Source organism: Homo sapiens, chromosome 6 (genome assembly GCF_000001405.40).
Source record: "Homo sapiens chromosome 6, GRCh38.p14 Primary Assembly".
Taxonomy (NCBI): domain Eukaryota; kingdom Metazoa; phylum Chordata; class Mammalia; order Primates; family Hominidae; genus Homo; species Homo sapiens.
Genome location: NC_000006.12, coordinates 130,187,467 through 130,207,199, shown reverse-complemented (window position 1 = coordinate 130,207,199; position 19,733 = coordinate 130,187,467). Strand labels below are relative to the sequence as shown.

At 42.5% G+C, this 19,733-nt stretch overlaps 1 protein-coding gene across 12 annotated transcripts in view, besides 2 other annotated features; it reads left to right on the top strand.

Moving 5' to 3' along the window:
* SAMD3 (sterile alpha motif domain containing 3) overlaps positions 1 to 19,733 on the top strand; it is a 223,117-nt gene that overhangs the window by 158,669 nt on the left and 44,715 nt on the right. The gene's annotated exons all lie outside the window — the stretch shown is intronic.
* Positions 8,998 to 9,578: an enhancer, noted in NCBI's record as "OCT4-NANOG hESC enhancer chr6:130518767-130519347 (GRCh37/hg19 assembly coordinates)". NCBI's record gives its function as "activates a minimal SCP1, AML or CMV promoter by ChIP-STARR-seq in primed H9 embryonic stem cells {active_cell/tissue: H9 hESC(primed)}" and the evidence as "EXISTENCE:reporter gene assay evidence [ECO:0000049][PMID:30033119]".
* Positions 12,038 to 12,538: an enhancer, noted in NCBI's record as "H3K27ac hESC enhancer chr6:130515807-130516307 (GRCh37/hg19 assembly coordinates)". NCBI's record gives its function as "activates a minimal SCP1, AML or CMV promoter by ChIP-STARR-seq in naive H9 embryonic stem cells {active_cell/tissue: H9 hESC(naive)}" and the evidence as "EXISTENCE:reporter gene assay evidence [ECO:0000049][PMID:30033119]".

Here is a 19,733-nt window from a genome sequence, read left to right as displayed (position 1 = left end):
TCTTTTTTTTTCTTTTTCTTTTTTTTCTTTTTTTTTTTTTGATGAGATGGGGTCTATCACCATCTCTCTATCACCCAGGCTGGAGTGCAGTGATGCAATCAGGGCTCACTGCAGCCTTGATTTTCCAGGCTCCGGAAATCCTCCCGCCTTAGCCTTTGGAGTAGCTGAGCCCACAGGTGTGCACTACCAGGCCCAGCTAATTTTTTAATGATTTGTAGAAATGAGATCTAGTTGTGTTGCCCAAGCTCTCTTTTCTCCTTTCTAAGCCCTCTGACATTTTGTCCTCATCATGCTCCTGTGATACTGGCTAGGCAGGGTTATTATTCCAATTGTTTTCACATGGCTCATCAAAGGACCAGCCCCACACTTAATGGCATCTCACATTCTTCATAGCAGCTGGCAAGGGGGAGGAGAAAAATAGGACTGGCTAAGAAATTGAGAGAAATAGAAGGGTTTGGAAACTAGAAGTGGCACGCCCCTATCTTTATCTCTGGTCATAAAGTCTCTCCTAAGCCCTTTACTTATCTGTTTACCACCAGCTGCCCATCTCTGCATACCGCACCTTAGAATTAATGTTTCAAAAAGTAAACTTATCTGTCCTGCCTTAGTATATATTTGGCAGTAAGAAACAAAAATCCACTCACAGTAAAGACAAAGGGAGTTTATTGTGAGAAAAGCATTTCCCAGCATCCAAGGGCTGAACAAGTAAGTTCCCGAGCATGAAGACACAGGTGCTGGAAAGCCAGGGAGTGAAGTGGTCCCTACTTTTCTCACGGGTTGTCTCTGTCTCCATTCTGCTTCCCTGTCTAGTTGGCCTCATTTCCTTGCTTTTCCCTGCAAGGATAGATTTATCATACTACTTCTGGCTGTTCTGCTCCCCTCAAACTACCTGGCATACGACTGCCTTGCCCTAGTACCAACTCCAAAGGAAATGCTCCCTATAAACAGCTCAGGTCCTCCCAGCCAACTGACTCTGTCTTTCAGTGTTGCTTTGTTCATGGGCCCAGCGTGAATCAGGTGTCCCCTCCTGGGCAATCACTTGTGTGGGAGGAGGGGCCCATAAAGACAGGGTGAAGTATCTATTTTTAATATTTTCCCTATGGCCCTGCCCTTTATCCAGAGCTGTGGGCTGAGATGGGGCAGAAGATTCTCTCCCCTCCAATGTCCTATCTCAGATGGTGGTCCCACCATCCAACCCTGTGAGCCAAAGTGTTGGAGCCACTCTTGGTCCCTTTCTCCTGCCCCTCTGCCTAGGGCACTATTCAGTCAACAGTTGTTCATTAAGGGCCTACTGTATGATTTTTGTGTCATGGTGTATGGTTCTCTTCCTCTGCTCAACATCCTTCTATAGAAAGCCTCTGGTGACATTCCAGGCCAGGCACGGAGCCCTTCCTCTGTGTATAGTGTCATCTACTTAATCTCGTGCTTGACTGTAAACTAGCTAATAAAACTGATCACTTTAAAGTTTGTATTCTCTCATTAGACTATAAGTGCTTCAAGGACAATGACCATGTTTTTTCTTGCTGTTGTAAACCCAACATTTAGCTTGGCTCCTCACACATAGAGGCTCAATAGGAGCTTTAAAATGGAACTTGGGGCTGAGCATGGTGGCTCATGCCTGTAATCCCAGCACTCTGGGAGGCTGAGGTGGGTGGATCACCTGAGGTCAGGAGTTCGAGAGCAGTCTGGCCAACATGGTAAAACCCCGTCTCTACTAAAAATATAAAAATTAGCCTGGCATGGTATCATGCACCTGTAATCCCAGATACTTGAGAGGCAGAGGCAGTAGAATCACTTGAACCCAGGAGGCAGAGGTTGCAGTGAGCTGAGATCACTCCATTGCACTCCAGCCTAGGTGACATAGTGAGACTCTGTCCCAAAAAAATAAAATAAAATAAAATAAAATATAATAAAATAGAACTTGGGATGTGTGAGCCAATGAAAGACTGAATACACTTTCATAGGAAGGGATAAATGTTTGAATAACATCAATTTTTTTAGATCTTTTAATACAATCCATATACTAATTTTTTTTTTTTTTTTTTACAGAGCCAAACTCCAGGGCTCTATAAGCCATTCCTCCATAACAGGCTAGAAATCCAAAGGTATTTGACTACAGGCTTTCTTGAAGCCAGCCTTTTTCAAGAGGTAGAGAGAGGTGGGGAACAAGTGCCAGCTTTTGGAGTCTTACACATTGGGTTCAAATCCTGACTCCTCCACTTGCCCAACAAGTGGTCTCTGAACCATGTCTCCTGCACCTCAATATGTAGTCCTGTGAGGTCCCAATGATAGAACATATCAAAGCACCTGGCAGCTGTTACCACACCTCACAAGGTGGCAGTTACTATTCTTGTGATTTTTTTTTTCCTCTGTTCCCTGAAATGAACATATTCATTCCATCCCGATTGTGTGCTGACAAAAAAAAAAAAAAAAAGGCCTGGAAATTCACCTGACTCTGGCTCTTAGAATGACTCTAACAGTAGTGAAAATGAGGTGTGTGTTCCAGTGGGTGAATTGGGTGTCCAAGGAAACACTAGAGTGCTGTGGCACATTGCAGTTTTCTCCAGGGACAGCAGATACCGTGCTTTTTTTTTTCTTTTTTTGAGATAGGGTCTCGTTCTGTCACCCAGGCTGGAGTGCAGTGGCGCTATCTCAGCTCATTGCAATCTCCACTTCCCAGGCTCAAACAGTCCTCCCACCTCAGTATCCTCACTGCAGGCATGCACTGCCACACACTGCTAATTTTTGTATTTTTTGTAGACAGAGGGTTTCAACATGTTGCCCAGGCTAGTCATGAAGATACTGTGCTCTTTACTGAATTGCTTAAATGCCCTTTCTGGAAGGAGGAATTAATAGGTCCCATCCTCATCATGTGCTGGTGATTTTTTGGGAAGAGCTTTTTTTGCAGTGTTATTCTTTGCTTTTTTGTCTACCCTGTTTGAAACTGTTCACCTCTCTTTTAGTAGCTAATAAGGCATGAAAGTAGATAAACAGGTAGAGGCTTCCTAAATGTTACTTTAAAGGCTTCTCACCTGAACTTTAAATATATGTGTCCAGATGTTTTGCTTCCGCTTTTGGGTATAATTATAAATTAGTCATGGTTTCATGCATATTTAAAAATTATTTTAATTACAAACTTTTTTTTTTTCGGTCTGGCCACTGCAATGAAATGGTATAGAATAAGCTAATCCTTCTGCCTATGTTCAGTGATTAAGGCAAATGTCAATGGATTTTCAACATATTTGATGCGTTGTTTGCAGGCTCTTTCACACAGGTAGTTCAGGCAAGGGGCCATACAGTTGTGTGTGCATCCAATACCAGTGTGTAATAAAGGGAAGCTGCAAGGAAGTGTGCCAGCCTAGTTATGGGTTCATTAATGCAGGTTCCAGTTAGATGTGTGATTTGTCTTCTCAATTCCTACTCCTCAATTCCTTGGTCCTCTACAGGCCAAGAGCTCTGGGTTGGGGAAGTATGAGACGAACCAGTCTTATTCATCTGTGCAGTCCCTGACACAGGTGATCAACAATGTTCATTGCATGAAGGAACAGATGTATTAAGCATTTTCTGTGGGCTCTGCTTAATTGAAATATATGTAACCACAACAGATAATGAAAGAGCCTTGTAGGAAGACATGGGGGTGAGATGCAATGTCTTGAGATCCATTGTCACTCATGGTGATTCAATCATAGAGCTAAAAAGCAGATGGTCTGGGAGAGCAGTAAGTATATGTATTAGTCCAGGATGTCAAACCTGCTAATAACCAGGGTTGGTAAGTCTGGAGATGAGGATAGGCAAGTATTTGAGTTTAGTTTTAAACCCTAGCTCTGTCATTTACCAGCTGAGTAACCTTGGACAAGTTATATAACCTTACTAGGTCTCACTTTTCTTATCTGTAAAATACATAGAAGAATGAATTAATTTATGAAAAAAATGCTTAGGAGCTCATTAGTTTTACCTATTGTTGTTCTTGTCTGGGTAGTCACTAAGACACAGAGTCCAAGGAGATTTGAAAAAATTCTGCTCTCGATTCTAACAAGTGGTCCCAAAGCGGAAGCAGCTCTAGGAAGTGCAGGTAGGCCAGCAGTGTCTGGAAGCCTTCCCAGGACTCAGGGCTCCAGACAAGAGGAGCATATGCTTCAGGCCTCCCAAAAGGCCTGGGACACCAGTCGGTTGTTGCTGTAGAAAACAAAACAGAAACAAGGTGTGTGAACCGATATGTATAATGAGGTGAAGAGGGAAGTTTCAAGAATCTGATTAGAGAAGCCCAGTCACCACTGCGGGGGAGGAGGGGGGGCATCAAAGACCACACAGGTGTTGAATTGACACGTTTAGATCCTGAGTCCCAGGGCAGTGGAGCAAGGATCTGAGAGGGAAATGCAAGATCCCATCATTTTGTACCACTTGCATGTGTAGAACCTCATGCCTAAAGGTTCTGTGTTGTGGAAATATTACATACTAATTCTATTCCTTGATTAGAGATTTCCAGCATACAGTAATGTAGTAATGTAGGCTTTGAGGAGTCTTATAGTAAAACAAACAAAAAATCCCACTTAACTTTGTTTAACCCAGGATTTCTCTTTGTGTAACATCTATTAACATTACAACAAAACACCTTAGGAAATACTTATTTAAAGATTCCTTACCTAAATCAGGATTCATCCATTCATTCAATATGTAAATAATTACTGAGTGCTTACTACGTGTGAGACACTGTTGTAGGTATTGGGGATACAGTAGGGAAAAACTGACCAAGCCTCCCACTTTGCAGAGCTCACCTTCTAATGTAAGGAGAAAAATAGATAAAATAAATATAACATTAGGTTATAAATTTGCTTAAATGCTATGAAGACCAGTGATGCAAAAAAGCAGGAGCGGGGATACAGAGTGAGCAGTGTGTGCATGTACATGTATGTGTCAATGTACAGGAGGGTTCTGTTTCAGATGGGGTTCTCAGGGAAGTCCTTTCAACTTTGACTAGGTGATATTAGAGCAGGGACCCTAATGAAGTGAGGAATATTGGCTTTGAGCTAGAGCCAAACTTTCTGTCAGGGGAAGATATCTGTGGACAGTATTATTAAGTCTTTAGAGAGGTCCAAAGTAATCTTGATTTCTAATCTGTTTTTCTTTTGTTCAGTCCAAATTACTGACTATACCCCATGGGCTAGGTACTATGTAGACATGGGGTTGGGGATGGATACTTTATTCCTTTCCTTGGGGAATTCAGAGTCTGGTAGACAAGACAGATATGTAAGCGAGTACCTGCAACACAGAAAAATATGCCAAAAGAGAAATGGAGAAGTAACACAGAGAGAGGGAGAAATAAGACTTTCTGGGAAGTAAGCGTGGCGAAGGCCTCTAGGGAAAGGCTTCACAAACACTGAAGGAGGATTTTGAAAGATGATTAGAGGTTTATCTTAAGGAAAATGAAGCAGGAGAAGAAAAGGACATTCACAGTATGTGCAAGTGTACAAACACCTGAAATAGCATGGAGGATTCTGTTTGGATTATTTTTGGAATGTGATAGAGGCAGAGAAGATGGAGTTGCTGTAAATGGTGAGATTCTGTTAGAGAGGTGAGGAGGGGACTTCCATGCCATACTAAGCATCTCTTAACTTTGCACATTAAATTCACCTAGTGGACTTACAGGAAAAATACCAATGTCCTAAACTGATTCTTCTCAAATTCTATTGTACTTATAAAACACTGAGGAATCTTGTTAAAACACAGACTCTGATTTAGTAGGTTAGGGTGGGGCCTGGGATTCTGCAATTCTTAATTCCAGTGCTGTTCTAAGACCACGTTTTGAGTAACAAAGGATTAGATGAATAAGAACTTCTGGGGATGAGACTTGTGCATCAGTATTTTTTTTAAGGTTCCACAAGTAATTATAATGTATAGTGAGAATTGAAAACTACTGCTGTAGGTTAGGGAATAATCAAAGAGATTCAGTGATTTGATCAGGTATACATAGTTTTCATCATTTATTGTGGCAGTGATGTAGAGAATGGATTGGAGAAAAATGAAAGGAGGAAGACCCATCAAAACACTAGACTAAAGTTCAAGCAAGAATTGATGAAGGTCTAAGCTAAGACGGTGGTAACAGGCATCAAAAGGATATTTAAATATAAAATCAACAGGACATGGTGGGCCTGTTACTGAGGAGAAGAGGAGAGTTTGCTGGGTGGTAAACTTTCTCCTGTACTTCTGGCTTGTATAACTAGTGATGCTATCAACCAACATGAGAAAACAAACATGAGAATAGCATTGTGAAGAATATGACCAACAGCTTATTCAACAGAACTTAGCGGGATGAAAGAAAAACAGGGATTCTGATAAAGCTAGGGCTTCTTCACACTCTTTTCCATATTAACATTTTATATAGAAAACACTCAACAGAGTCAGTCTAAACAGTTCAATAACACCACCACCTCCCAAATGAAGAGAGGCCCTCCTCATTTTTGTTTAAAGACCCAGTTTTCTATATTCCTCAGTAGCTACTGAATGTCCTTGCCCACTTTGATTGCTGGTGATAAATTAAAACACATTTTAACACTTCTGAACTGCAAAAATAGTACTACTGAACCATTTTGCAACAACTGAGCATGTCATGCCTCATTCCCCTTTTTTTTTTTTTTTTTTTTTGTGGGTCGGGGGACAGAGTCTGGCTCCATTGCCCTGGCTGGAGTGCAGTGGTGTGATCTCGGCTCACTGCAAGCTCTGCCTCCCGGGTTCAAGCAATTCTCCTGCCTCAGCCTCCCAAGTAGCTGGGACTACAGTTGCATGCAACCACGCCCGGCTAATTTTTTTTTTTTTTGTATTTTTAGTACAGATGGGGTTTCACCGTGTTAGCCAGGATGGTCTCTATCTCCTGACCTCGTGATCCACCTGCCTCAGCCTCCCAAAGTGCTTAGATTACAGGCGCATGAATGAGGAAGAAAAAAAGAAAAGAGGGACTGAGAGGTGATAGCTCTGTGAGACTTGTTGACGTGCATGTCATGGTAGTAGATAAGATAAAGGGCTGAGTTTCTGAAACTTTGCATTTCTGTTAATACCAAGAGGAATTGGGGAATGGGAAGATTTAAAAGTTTTTTTTTTCTGCTTTGTTTTTGATGAATTAGGGCCCCAAAGACTCCCGAGGCCTTGAATCTCACACTGGGGGCCAATAACATAGAGGGTTTGAGAGACATCTGTCTATCTTTGCCAAGACATGGTGCCTGATGCTGGTCACATCTCTCTTTTCTTTGTGCTTGATTATAGGTTCACACATGCATTTCAGACATGTAATTCCTCTGGAAATCTCATAAATTTATTGCCAGGTGTGAGAGCCCTGGGCTATAAAACATAAATTAAAAGCAAACATCAAAATTATAGGAATGTGGCTCAAACATTTTTCAGAATTCACGGTGGGTACCATCAGTTGCAGCAACAAAACAGCATTTTCTTCATAGTTTAGGGGTGCTTTGAAGTGACATTGTTCAATATCTTCAGAGACAGCATCTCACCTTGTTCATTGGCACGTGTCTCTATTGAGCTCTTCAAAACTTCTTGTTTGTTTTCTTAGCAGTAGCTACTCTTGCCAAGATAAAGAAGGTAATTCCCAGGTTACTGGCATAATTAACTCAGAAGCAGAATTTCTGATTCACTTGTAGTTTGGTAAAGTTTGTTCCCTATTTGGAAGGGATGTGTACCATAACATCTTCTATCCTAGGATAAAATGACAGCAAATTCTTTAAACAGATATCTAAGCCTCCCCTGGCTTCTTCCTCTTCTATGTCCCCAAAACATCTCAGGTTTGGGATGTTGCAGAGATCACATGCCATTTAGCTTCAGAGTTGATAATATAAACCTGGGTATCCCAATCTATACCATTTTCAGTGTATAAAGTCTGCAGGCTTGGATGTAGAGAGGAATTAAATGAAAATGGGATGCCACAATACAGCCACTTGTGGGGCACAATTTCTTTCAGTTCAGTCCCTGGAAAGCAGCATAGTTGTCACTGCTTTCTCTCCCAATGGTGGGAGTACTAATACTATTGCTGGTGGCACTTGAGATGTGAAGACCAAGTCCTGTAGCCAGGATGTGTATTCTTCACAGCAAAGTGTTCCACTTGTCCCTTGTTCTCCTCCCTGGAGGACCAGAAAGTAATACTATTTTACAAGACTAGGAAAATATCACAGTTCCTCAAAGTAGGAGATTGTCTCCAAGTGGGTGCCCTTGGAGAAAGGTACAATTTGTGCCCCGAAATTTGGGAAAACAGGGATGATTTATGAGCTATGACTCCAAAGGTCAACCAGGGTTCAGCTGAGTGTGATATGAACTCTGCCCTGGGTCCCATAAAGCCACATGGGGTGCAACTGAAGCCTGGTGAGATGCTTAGAAAACAGCTTTTGGAGGGTTTATTTTTGGCGTGTCTGACCTTTTTGTAATTCTCAAGAGTCACAGTCTAGTTCTCAGATACCTTTTGTGTTTCCAGAGGTTTCCACCTCAGTCTCTAGATCTGCCTCTCTAGTGTTCCCCACTGGTTTTTGTATCTCAAATTTATGGGCTTAGTAACCTGGCACTTCTTTTCACTCACCACTTGGTTTGGTGCCTTGCTAGTGAGTGGTTTCTTTGTCATCAGTGGGCTGTTTTAGCACAACAGAGAGCTCCTTTTTGAAAGGTGACAATTTTATGTCTGAAAACACAAATTTAGGCTAGATGTGGTGGCTCACATCTCTAATTCCAACACTTTGGGAGGCCAAGGCAGGAGAATCACTTGAGGCCAGGAGTTTGAGACCAGCCTGGGCAACATAGCAAGACCTCATCTCTACAAAAATAAATTTTAAAAATTAGCTGGGTGTGGTGATGCATGCTTGTAGTCCTAGCTGCTCAGGAGGCTAAGGGGGGAGGCTTCCATTGAGCCCAGGAGTTTGAGGCTGCAGTGAGTCATCATTGTGCCACTTCACTCCTGCCTGGATAACAGACAGAGACCCTGTTTTCATGCGCGTCCGTGTGAAGAGACCACCAAACAGGCTTTGTGTGAGCAACATGGCTGTTTATTTCACCTGGGTGCAGGCGGGCTGAGTCCAAAAAGAGAGTCAGCGAAGAGAGATGGGGTGGGGCCGTTTTATAGGATTTGGGTAGGTAAAGGAAAAAGGGGTGTTGTTCTCTGGCAGGCAGGACTGAGGGGGTCACAAGGTACTCAGTGGGGGAGCTTTTGAGCCAGGATGAGCCAGGAGGAGGAATTTCGCAAGACAATGTCATCAGTTAAAGCAGGAACAGGCCATTTTCACTTCTTTTGTGGTGGAATGTCATCAGTTAAGGCAGGAACCGGCCATCTGGATGTGTACGTGCAGGCCACAGGGAATATGATGGCTTAGCTTGGGCTCAGAGGCCTGATATTCCTATCTTCTTATATTAATAAGAAAAATAAAATGAAATAGTGGTAAAGTGTTCGGACAGCGAAAATTTTGGGGGATGGTATGGAGAGATAATGGGCGATGTTTCTCAGGGCTGCTTCGAGCGGGATTAGGGGTGGCATGGGAACCTAGAGTGGGAGAGATTAATCTGAAGGGAGATTTTGTGGTAAGGGGTGATATTGTGGGGTTGTTAGAAGGAATATTTGTCATTTAGAATTATTGGTGATGGCCTGGATACAGTTTTGTATGAATTGAAAAACTAAATGGAATGAGAGAAGGAGAAAAATAGGTATAAAAGGTCTAAGAATTGGGACGACTCAGGACATCTGATTAGAGAGTGCCTAAGGAGATTCAGCATAGTCCTACCAGCAAAGATTATTTACTTCAAGAGTTAAGAGTGGCAGTTTGGGGATAGCACCAGGAAATATCAGCTGTGATGGCTTGGAGAAACGGTGTAAACCGGCAGTGTAAACAAGAGCAGGGCATGTATGAGTAGTTGAGAACGGTGAATAAGAGTATGACTAGACAGAAGATAGTAGGGATGACAAGTTTTTTGGGGCACAGTCTAAGTTGGTCTGGTGTCTGGAATGAGACTGGGCCTAATAAAACGGAGCGTCTATACAGGAGCTCAAATGGGCTGTACCTTGTAGCATTCTGAGGACAGGTCTGACTTCTGAGAAGGGAAAGTAGTAAAAGTATTGTCCAGTCCTTTTTAAGTTGGTGGCTGAGCTTGGTGAGGTGTGTTTTTAAAAGACCTTTACTCCGTTCTACTTTTCCTGAAGATGGAGGACCGTAAGGGATATAAAGGTTTCACTGAATACTAAGAGCCTGAAAAACTGCTTGGCTGATTTGACTAATAAAGGCTGGTCTGTTATCAGACTGTAGAGAGGTGGGAAGGCTAAACTGAGGAATTATGTCTGACAGAAGGGAAGAAATGACTGCGGTGGCCTTCTCAGACCCTGTAGGAAAGGCCTCTACCTATCCAGTGAAAGTGTCTACCTAGACTAAGAGGTATTTTAGTTATCTGACTCGGGGCATGTTGAGTAAAGCTAATTTGCCAGTCCTGGGTGGGGGCAAATCCTCAAGCTTGATGTGTAGGGAAGGGAGGGGGCCTGAATAATCCCTGAGGAGTAGTAGAATAGCAGATGGAACACTGAGAAGTTATTTCCTTGAGGATAGATTTCCACGATGGAAAGGAAATGAGAGGTTCTAAGAGGCGGGCTAGTGGCTTGTACTATAGCATAGCCTGCCTTTGCTGGTGTGTGGCGATTAGGCCTGGTGGAGCTGCCATCAATAAACTAAGTGTGATCAGGGTGAGAAACAGGGAAGAAGGAAATGTGGGGAAATGGGGTGAACGTCAGGTGGATCAGAGAGATACAGTCATGAGGGTCAGGTGTGGTATCAGGAATAATGTGGGAGGCCAGATTGAAGTCTGGGCCAGGAACAATGATAATTGTGGGACTTAACAAAGAGTGAGTACAGCTGAAGGAGCTGGGGAGCAGAAAGTATATGAATCAGGTATGAGGAAGAAGATAGATTTTGGAAGTTATGAGAACTGTAGAGAGTGAGTTGAGCATAGTTTGTTATTTTAAAGGCCTCTGAAAGTATTAGGGGGGCAGGAGCCACTGCACGGAGACATGATGGTCAGCCTAAAACAGTAAGGTCAAGTTGTTTGGACAAAAAGGCTACAGGACGCGATCCCAGTCCTGTAAAAATTCTGACTGCACAGCCCTGCACTTCAGCTGTGTGTAATGAAAAGGGTTGGGATGAGTCAGGGAGAGCTCGGTTGTGGGCAGTCTCTAAAGCTGTCTTCAAGGAACAGAAAAACGAGTGGGGAAAGGATTTAGGATCTATGGGGTCAGCTAGGTTTCTTTTTGTGAGTTTATATAATGGTTTTGTTAGGATGGCAAAACCAGGTATCTAAAGTCGAAAGTATCTAACCATGCCTAGGATGTAGAAGGTGTTGGGGTTTGAGAGATCAGTCAGACATGATCGGCAGGGAGAGCACGTGTGTTTTTATAAGAATTACGCTGAGACAGGTAACAGATGAGGAAGAAATTTGAGCTTGACTGAAGTAATGAGGGATGTCTGTGAAGCCTTGCAGCAGTACAGCCCAGGTAATTTGCTGAGCCTGATGGGTGTCAGGGTCAGTCCAAGTGAAAGCGAAGAGAGGCTGGGATGAAGGGTGCAAAGGAATAGTAAAGAAAGCATGTTTGAGATCTAGAACAGAATAATGGGTTGTAGAGGGAGGTATTGAGGATAGGAGAGTATATGGGTTCGGCACCATGGGGTGGATAGGCAAAACAATTTGGTTGATAAGGCGCAGATCCTGAACTAACTTGTAAGGCTTGTCTTGTTCTAGGATAGGTAAAATGGGGGAATTGTAAGGAGAGTTTATAGGCTTTAAAACACCATGCTGTAGCAGGCGAGTGATAACAGGCTTTAATGCCCAAAGCGTGCTGTGGGATGGGATCTTGGCATTGAGCAGGGCAAAGGTGATTAGGTTTTAATGAGATGGTAAGGGGTGCATAATCGGTCACCAAGGAGGGATTAGAGGTATCTTATACTTGTGGGTTAAGGTAGGGGGATACAAGAGGAGGACATGAAGGAGGCTTTGGGTTGGGGAGAAGGGCAGCAATGAGATGCGGCTGTAGTCCAGGAATAGTCAGGGAAGCAGATAATTTAGTTAAAGTGCCTCAGCCTAATAAGGGAACTGGGCAGGTGGGGATAATTAAAAAGGGGTGCTTAAAAGAGTATTGTCTAAGTTGGCACCAGAGTTGGGGGGTTTTAAGAGGTTTAGAAGCCTGGCCGCCAATACCCACAACAGTTATGGAGGCAAGGGAAACAGGCCCTTGAAAAGAAGGTAATGTGCAGTGGGTAGCCTCCATATTGATTAAGAAGGGGACAGACTTACCCTCCACTGTGAGAGTTACCTAGAGCATCTGTGATGGTCCTGTAGGCTTCCAAGGTGATCAGGCAGTGTCAGTCTTCAGCTGCTAAGCCGAGAAGATCTGGGAAGGACTCAGTCAGAGAGCCTTGGGCCAGAGTTCCATGGGCTCTGGGAGTGGTTGCCAAGTGAGTTGAACAGTCCAATTTCCAGTGGGGTCCTGCACAGATGGGACGCGGCTTAGGAGGAATTCTGGGCTGTGAGCATTCCTTGGCCCAGTGGCCAGATTTCTGGCACTTGTAGCAAGCTCCTGGGAGAGGAGGTTCTGGAGAAATGCCTGGCCGCTGTGGTTCAGGCATTTGGAAGTTCTTGTGTGCTGGAGATGTGGCTGGGGTTTGTCTCACAGTGGAGGCAAGGAATTGCAACTTTTTTCTATTATTGTACACCTTGAAGGTGAGGTTAATTAAATCCTGTTGTAGGGTTTGAGGGCCAGAATTTAATTTTTGGAGTTTTATTTAATGTCAGGAGCAGATTGGGTAATAAAATGTATATTGAGAATAAGACAGCCTTTTGACCTTTTAGGGTCTAGGGCTGTAAAGTGTCTCAGGGTTGCTACCGAACAAGCCATGAACTGGGCTGGGATTTTTATATTTGACGAAAAAGAGTCTAAATGCTAACTGATTTGGGAGAGGTCGGATAAAGAAAAAGGAGCATTAACCTTGACTATACCTTTAGCTCCAGCCACCTTTTTAAGAGGAAATTGCTGGGCAGGTGGGGGAGGGCTAGTCGCAGAATGAAACTGTAAGCCAGACTGGGTGTGAGGAGGGGTGGTGATAAAAAGATTATAGAGTGGAGGAGCGGAGGCTGAGGAAGAATTGGGACCTAGCTCGACCTGGCGAGAAGCAGCCTGGGGAGGAGGGGAGAGGTCAGATGGGTCTGGAGAAAAGGAAGATTAGAAAGACCCAGTGACGCTTGGGGTTGGGACTGAGGGGACAGGAGGGAGGGAAAGAAGGAAGATTTGGGACAAGTTGCATTGGGCACAGAGACTAGGAAGGGACTGATGTGTAAAAGAATGCCTGGACATCAGGCACCTCAGACCGTTTGCCTATTTTACAACAAGAATTATTTAGATCTTGCAGGATGGAAAACTTGAAAGTGCCATTTTCTGGCTATTTGGAACTACTGTCGAGTTTGTATTGGGGTCAAGCGGCATTGCAGAAGAAAATAAGGCATTTAGGTTTTAGGTCAGGTGTGAGTTGAAGAGGTTTTAAGTTCTTGAGAGCACAGGCTAAGGGAGTTGGAGGAATGGAGGGTGGAAAGTTGCCCATAGTGAAGGAGGCAAGCCCAGAGAAAAGGGAGAGTAGAGACACAGAGGGAAGGGGTTCAGGGGTTCTTACCCTCCAGAAAAGCGGGAAAGGGGTCAGGGCACAGAAATAAGGGGTTGGGGCACAGAGATAAGAGGTCGGGGCGTGGAAATAAGGGATCAGGGCGCAGAGATAAGAGGTCAGGGCACGGAAATAAGGGATTGGGGTGCAGAGATGTAAGAGGTCAGGGCACAGAAATAAGGGATCGGGGAGCAGAGATATGAGGTTGGGGTACTTGCCCCTCCCCCAGAAAAGTGGGACTTGCTGCTAAGTGTGAAGGAGAAGGGGTTGGGGGTTTCTTGCCCCCCAGAAAGGCGGAGAAGGGGTAGAGACATGGAGAGAAGGGGTTGGGGTACTTGCCCCTCCCCCAGAAAAGTGGGACTTCCTGCTAAAGGTGAAGGACCAAGGCAGGTGTCCCTGTGTAGTGTGACACCTCTGAAATGTGGGTGAATAATCAGAGAGGCGTCCCTGCAATGATTAAACACCAAGGGAAGGCTGCCTTCCCAGTCTGTGACTGGCACCGGAGTTTTGGGTCCACGGATGAAACGTGTCTCCTTTGTCTCTACCAGAAAATGAAAGGAATTGAAATTAAAAGAAGGGAGAGATTGAAGTGTGGCGCCAAGATTGAAAGGAGAAAGAGGTTGAGGGATAGTGAGGGAGGTTGGAGAAGTAAGTAAAAAGAGGCCACTTACTGGATTTGAAATTGGTGAGATGTTTCTTGGGCTGGTTGGTCTGAAGACCTGAGGTCGTAGGTGGATCTTTCTCACGGAGCAAAGAGCAGGAGGACAGGGGATTGATCTCCCAAGGGAGGTTCCCCGATCCGAGTCACGGCACCAAATTTCATGCGCGACCGTGTGAAGAGACCACCAAACAGGCTTTGTGTGAGCAACATGGCTGTTTATTTTACCTGGGTGCTGGTGGCTGAGTCCAAAAAGAGAGTCAGCGAAGGGAGATGGGGTGGGGCCATTTTATAGGATTTGGGAAGGTAAAGGAAAAAGGGGGGTTGTTCTCTGGTGGGCAGGAGTGGGGGTCACAAGGTACTCAGTGGGGGAGCTTTTGAGCCAGGATGAGCCAGGAGAAGGAATTTCACAAGACAATGTCATCAGTTAAAGCAGGAACAGGACATTTTCACTTCTTTTGTGGTGGAATGTCATCAGTTAAGGCAGAAACCGGCCATCTGGATGTGTATGTGCAGGTCACAGGGAATATGATGGCTTAGCTTGGGCTCAGAGGCCTGACACCTGTCTCTTAAAAAAGAAAAGAAAACACAAGTTTATAGAACTACAGACCATCTTTATCAATCATACAATGTTATATTTGATATTTTATATCTTTCTCAAGCATTGCTAAACCTTTCTACAATATTTTTGTCACAAACTATTTCATTCAACAAGGACGTAGGAAAATCAAGACAGATAAGGAGACTAGATGTAGTTGAGTGCTCACAGGGCCAGTGTTGGACCAGGCCAGGTGGGGGATTCAGATGAGGAGAACCACATGCATGGCAGGAGTGTGGCAGTGAGTAAAATCTACCTGAGAAGAAGGCTTGAGATAAACCTAGAAGAATGAGGGCAACTGAGGGCAACAAAGTAAGCGAAGAAACTGCTAACACATGCATAGTGCATTCTGGAGATTTAGTAAGGCTTGTGTCTGGACTGGATCTGAGAATTCACATTGTGTAGCAGTTGATAATAAGAGAGTACAAAAACTTCTAATTAGTAAATATGAAGAATTCAAATTTGGGATTTTAAGAAATTACAGACCATTGACTTTTATTTTTCTCATAGAATTTTAAAATCCTATCACCTGTTTTATTTGTAGAAGTAAAAAGAGAATGAAAAAATTCCTTTAAATTTAAGTCAATGAAATTGGAAGCACCAATTTCAACAAAGCGAGAAACTGCGGCTCAGTTAAAAAAAAAAAAAAGGAAGGAAGCAACAGTTTTAAACTCTTAAGCTTCCTCTAATTCGAAAAGAAATACTGAAGCTTTCTAGTTTGAAAATTCAAGAGCTTACTTTTTCCCTAAGGCAATATTATCTACTTTCATGGGGATAAAATAACTGCCAAACACTCAATAGCTCCAAAAGGGGTTTAAATACAGAGAACAGACTCAGTTTTCCTTCCAAATGCGAATGTTTATATCCAAACATGTCAACAAATCATAGTTATTTTCCTCTTCCTGGGGAGCCCCAGGAACCCAAAGGGATGATAATTAAGGGATGGGCCTGGCTCACAGTTGTCCTCAGAAATAGGAAGCAGTAACTCTCCTCTCAGGGAGACCACATACTGAAGATGTTAATTGGTCAAAGAGACTGACATAGTAAACTCTCACTGCATAGTAAACTCTCACGGTGTCTAATTGTTGGGGGTAGAAGAATCCTGAATCACCCATGTCACTCAATATATATATGGGTTACATTGTCGGCAAACAGGAAGATTATCATGCATATGACAGTTGGAAAATGTGAAATCATGCAAAAGGCAGATATCTAGTATGGTCAAGTATTGAATGTGGACTTGCAGGTCTTCTATATACTTGGTCTTTAAACTATGGGACTTTTAAATTTGAAGTTAAATTCTACATTGGTTCCCAGTGGTGTTTCAGTACCAGAAATAGTGTTTGAAATTGGACATGATTATAGTGTCAAGCAAGATTGCCTTATTTTGCTTGGACCTTCAACTATGTCTTGGTTCCAAAAGTAGCCCTGGAAGCCATTGGCCAGCTCTACCTGGCCCCTCCACTGACCGACATGATTAAATCGGTGTTTATGTAAAATTGGATGATGGATCACAGAGGAGAAGGGTTTATGGCTATATAGGGGGATAAATTGTGAGGAGCTGCAATTAGAAAAAATGAGCTACTTTTCTTATTTTTTTTTAATCTCTTTTCCCAGTGTTTTTCAGATTGGATCATTTCTGTTGATCTGTCTTCAAATTCAATGACTATTTCCTCCTAAATCTCCATTCTGCTATTAATCCTATCTAGTACAATTTTTAATTTCAAATTTTGTATTTTTTTCTTCTAAATTTCTATTTGTTTCTTTTAAACAATTTCTATTTCTTTGCTAAATTTTCCTATCATTTCAGTCATTCTGGCCTATATGCCTTTAATTCACTGAACATTGTTAGAATGGCCGCTTTAAAATCCTTGCCGACATCTGGTTCATCTTAGCATCACATTCTAATGATTATCTTTACTCTTGAGGATGGATTACATTTTCTGGGTTTTTTTTTTGTACGTTACATAATTTTGGATTAAATATGAATGTTACAGTGTGGAGTCTCTTGAATCTGTTGTGTTCGCCCAAAGAGCGTTGACATTTTGTTCTAGGAAACCGCAAAATTGGTTGGACTCACGTGGAAAACTCAGTCTCCTGGTGTCAGTTAAAATCTGTTGAGTTCTTTTATCTTTAGTCCAGTTATGCACATGTGTAGTTCAGGATCATCCAGAGATTTGAACAGTTTATACACAGATTGTGGAGTTTTCCCTCATTAGCTCATTCTTTTCTGGGGTTTTCCTCTCCTTTTCCACATAATGGGTTGCCCGAAATCCTGCCCCCAAGTCTTTGAGTCCAGAAATACTACAGGTTTTTCTATTAGAGTTTTGGCAGCACAGCATGAGGCCTGCCTTCAGGCCAAAAGCCATGAAAAGGGAACCTCATCAAAGGCCCAGTGTCTTCCTCTTGTTCTAAGTGTAGGCTTCTTTTCAAAACCTGCATTCTGTTTTTCACATTTCAGTGTTTTCAGTTAATTTTTTTAAAATGTGTTTAATGTTTATGGTTAATGTTTCTGAGACAGCTGGTCCAGTGGGAGCTCATTAAGCCATTCCAGCAGAACTCTGCTAGGAGACTACTGAAGCAGTCCACATTTGAGTGGCGAATACTTGGATTAGTGTAGTAGCATGAACCATGGAAATAAGTAAATAAATACAGAGATAAAATGTAGGGAAAATTTCATGACACTTAGGAGTGAAAAATGAAGGTGAAAGACATCACGATGTTAAGCTTGAGTTGCTAACAGAAACGGGTACAGTAAAAGAAACAAGGAAATTGGAATTCTGTGTTAGTCCGCACAGGCTGCCAAACAAATACCATAGACTTGGTGACCTAAACATAGAAATTTATTTTTTGGTGGTTCTAGAGGCCGTAAGCCTGAGATCAAGGCACTGACCTCTTCCATTTCTGTTGAGGACCCTCTTTTTCACTTGCAGATGGCTACATTTTCTCTCTGACCTCACATGGCATACAGATCTTTTAAGAATACCAATCCCGTCATCTCAGGGCCCAACCTTATGATTTCATTTAACTAAATTACTTCCATAAAGGTCTGTCTCCAAGTACAGTCACGTTGGAGGTTAGGGCTTCAACATATAGAATTTGAAAGGAACACAATTCAGTTCCTAGAAAATGAGAGCCTAGTTTTTGTTTTTTGGTTTTTTTTTTTTTTTGGTTTTTTTAAAGATTGTGAATTATTTTGGATTTGTTGAGTATGAGATGAACAATGTACAAGTTGTTGTTGGAGATCTAAGATGGAGCATGGAGAACAGATTATTGATGATAGATTTACAATCCATCAACATAAAGCTCAGAGCTGAGGCCATGGGGCTGGATGAGTTCTCTGAGGAAGAAAGCAAAAATCAATACAGAGGATTAAGGGGGCAGGAACCAAGCCATGTGCAAATTCTCACAGAAAGTAAAGGAGGTATAAATCAGCAAATAAACAAGTTGTCAGAGAGATTGGAAGAGAAGCAGGAAAATGAAACAGTGTCAAGGAAGTTAAGGAAGAAAAGGGGTGTGAGGAAGTAGTCAATAACACTAAATGCAGTTATGAAGCTCTTGTAAAAAGTTATGGTCAAAGGCCCTGAATTTGTCAATCAGGAAATCATTATTGACTTTAGAGGAAGCAGTCCCGGTGAGGTGATTGGGAAGAGATTGAGGTAAGAGAGGTTAGGGAAAAGCAGGATGAAGGTGATTTCAAAGACATGCCTGGAGCATAAATGGGGAGCCGAATCTACAGGGTAATGAATGCAATCACGGACCAGTGAAGTGTCCACATCTTTGCCGAGACCACATCAAATTCAGCCCTGCTTAGGTAGCTACTTCTTTCAGATGCCTGGTTTATTCTTTCAACAAAAAATCACTGTGTTATCAACTCTGCTAAGCAATGTTATATATACTGGAGATTAAACAAAAAGTCCCCGCCCTCATGTAACATCTGTGTTTCTTCTGCTCCCTACCAACTGCTGTTCTTCTGTGCTTTCAGATTGTTCCTTAGAGAGCTGGTGCTCACCTGAGCCCGTTCTTAACAGAGCCATCTTTCCTACCCTGTGTGAGCCTCATCAGAGTATACCATATGCTCTTTGGAAGCAGGGAAAGAATTGGATATTTTTTCACTCTTACTAAAGTTAGAAAATGTTGGAGAGTCAGTTAGCTTTTTTATGAAAATGCCATCTAATCATTTTTTAAATTAGCACCTAATACAATAATGATATGGCCAAGTATCAAATGTGTTGTCTTAACTTTATTATAAGTTTTATTTTATTGCAAATATAAGCTCTACACATAAGCTGAGAATTTAGTAAGCAGTGAACTCTGATTCAGTTAGCCGGGGGCCAACTGTAGGCATTAACATGTTTTAAAAGCTTCCTAGTTGATTCTACTGTGCACCCAGGATTGAGATACCTTGGGTTAGAGATCTGTTGCTTTGTGGTGCTGATTTTGTCGAAGAGCCTGGTTCTGAGGTGGGAACAGTAATATAACCATCCTTTGGGTTGAACTGCTGTCTGCTCCCTGCCCTTACTTTTGGCTGACTTATTATGGTGTTCTGCCCAATTCTAGCTTAATAAAAATATTATGAATAATCTTAACCTCACAGTAAAGCTTTTTTTAATCCAATGCAAATATAATTTTACAGATGAGAAATGATTTTGCCTGCAGTTATCTGCTTCCAAATTAGAATGTATTTTTAATTTCTGATGAGTCACTTTTCGTGTGTAATACTCATTTTGACTGGTATTAGGTGGCATGGGTTGGTTTTTAGTCAATTCCAGAATATCTTCTTACATTGTTTTAATGTAAAGAAAAT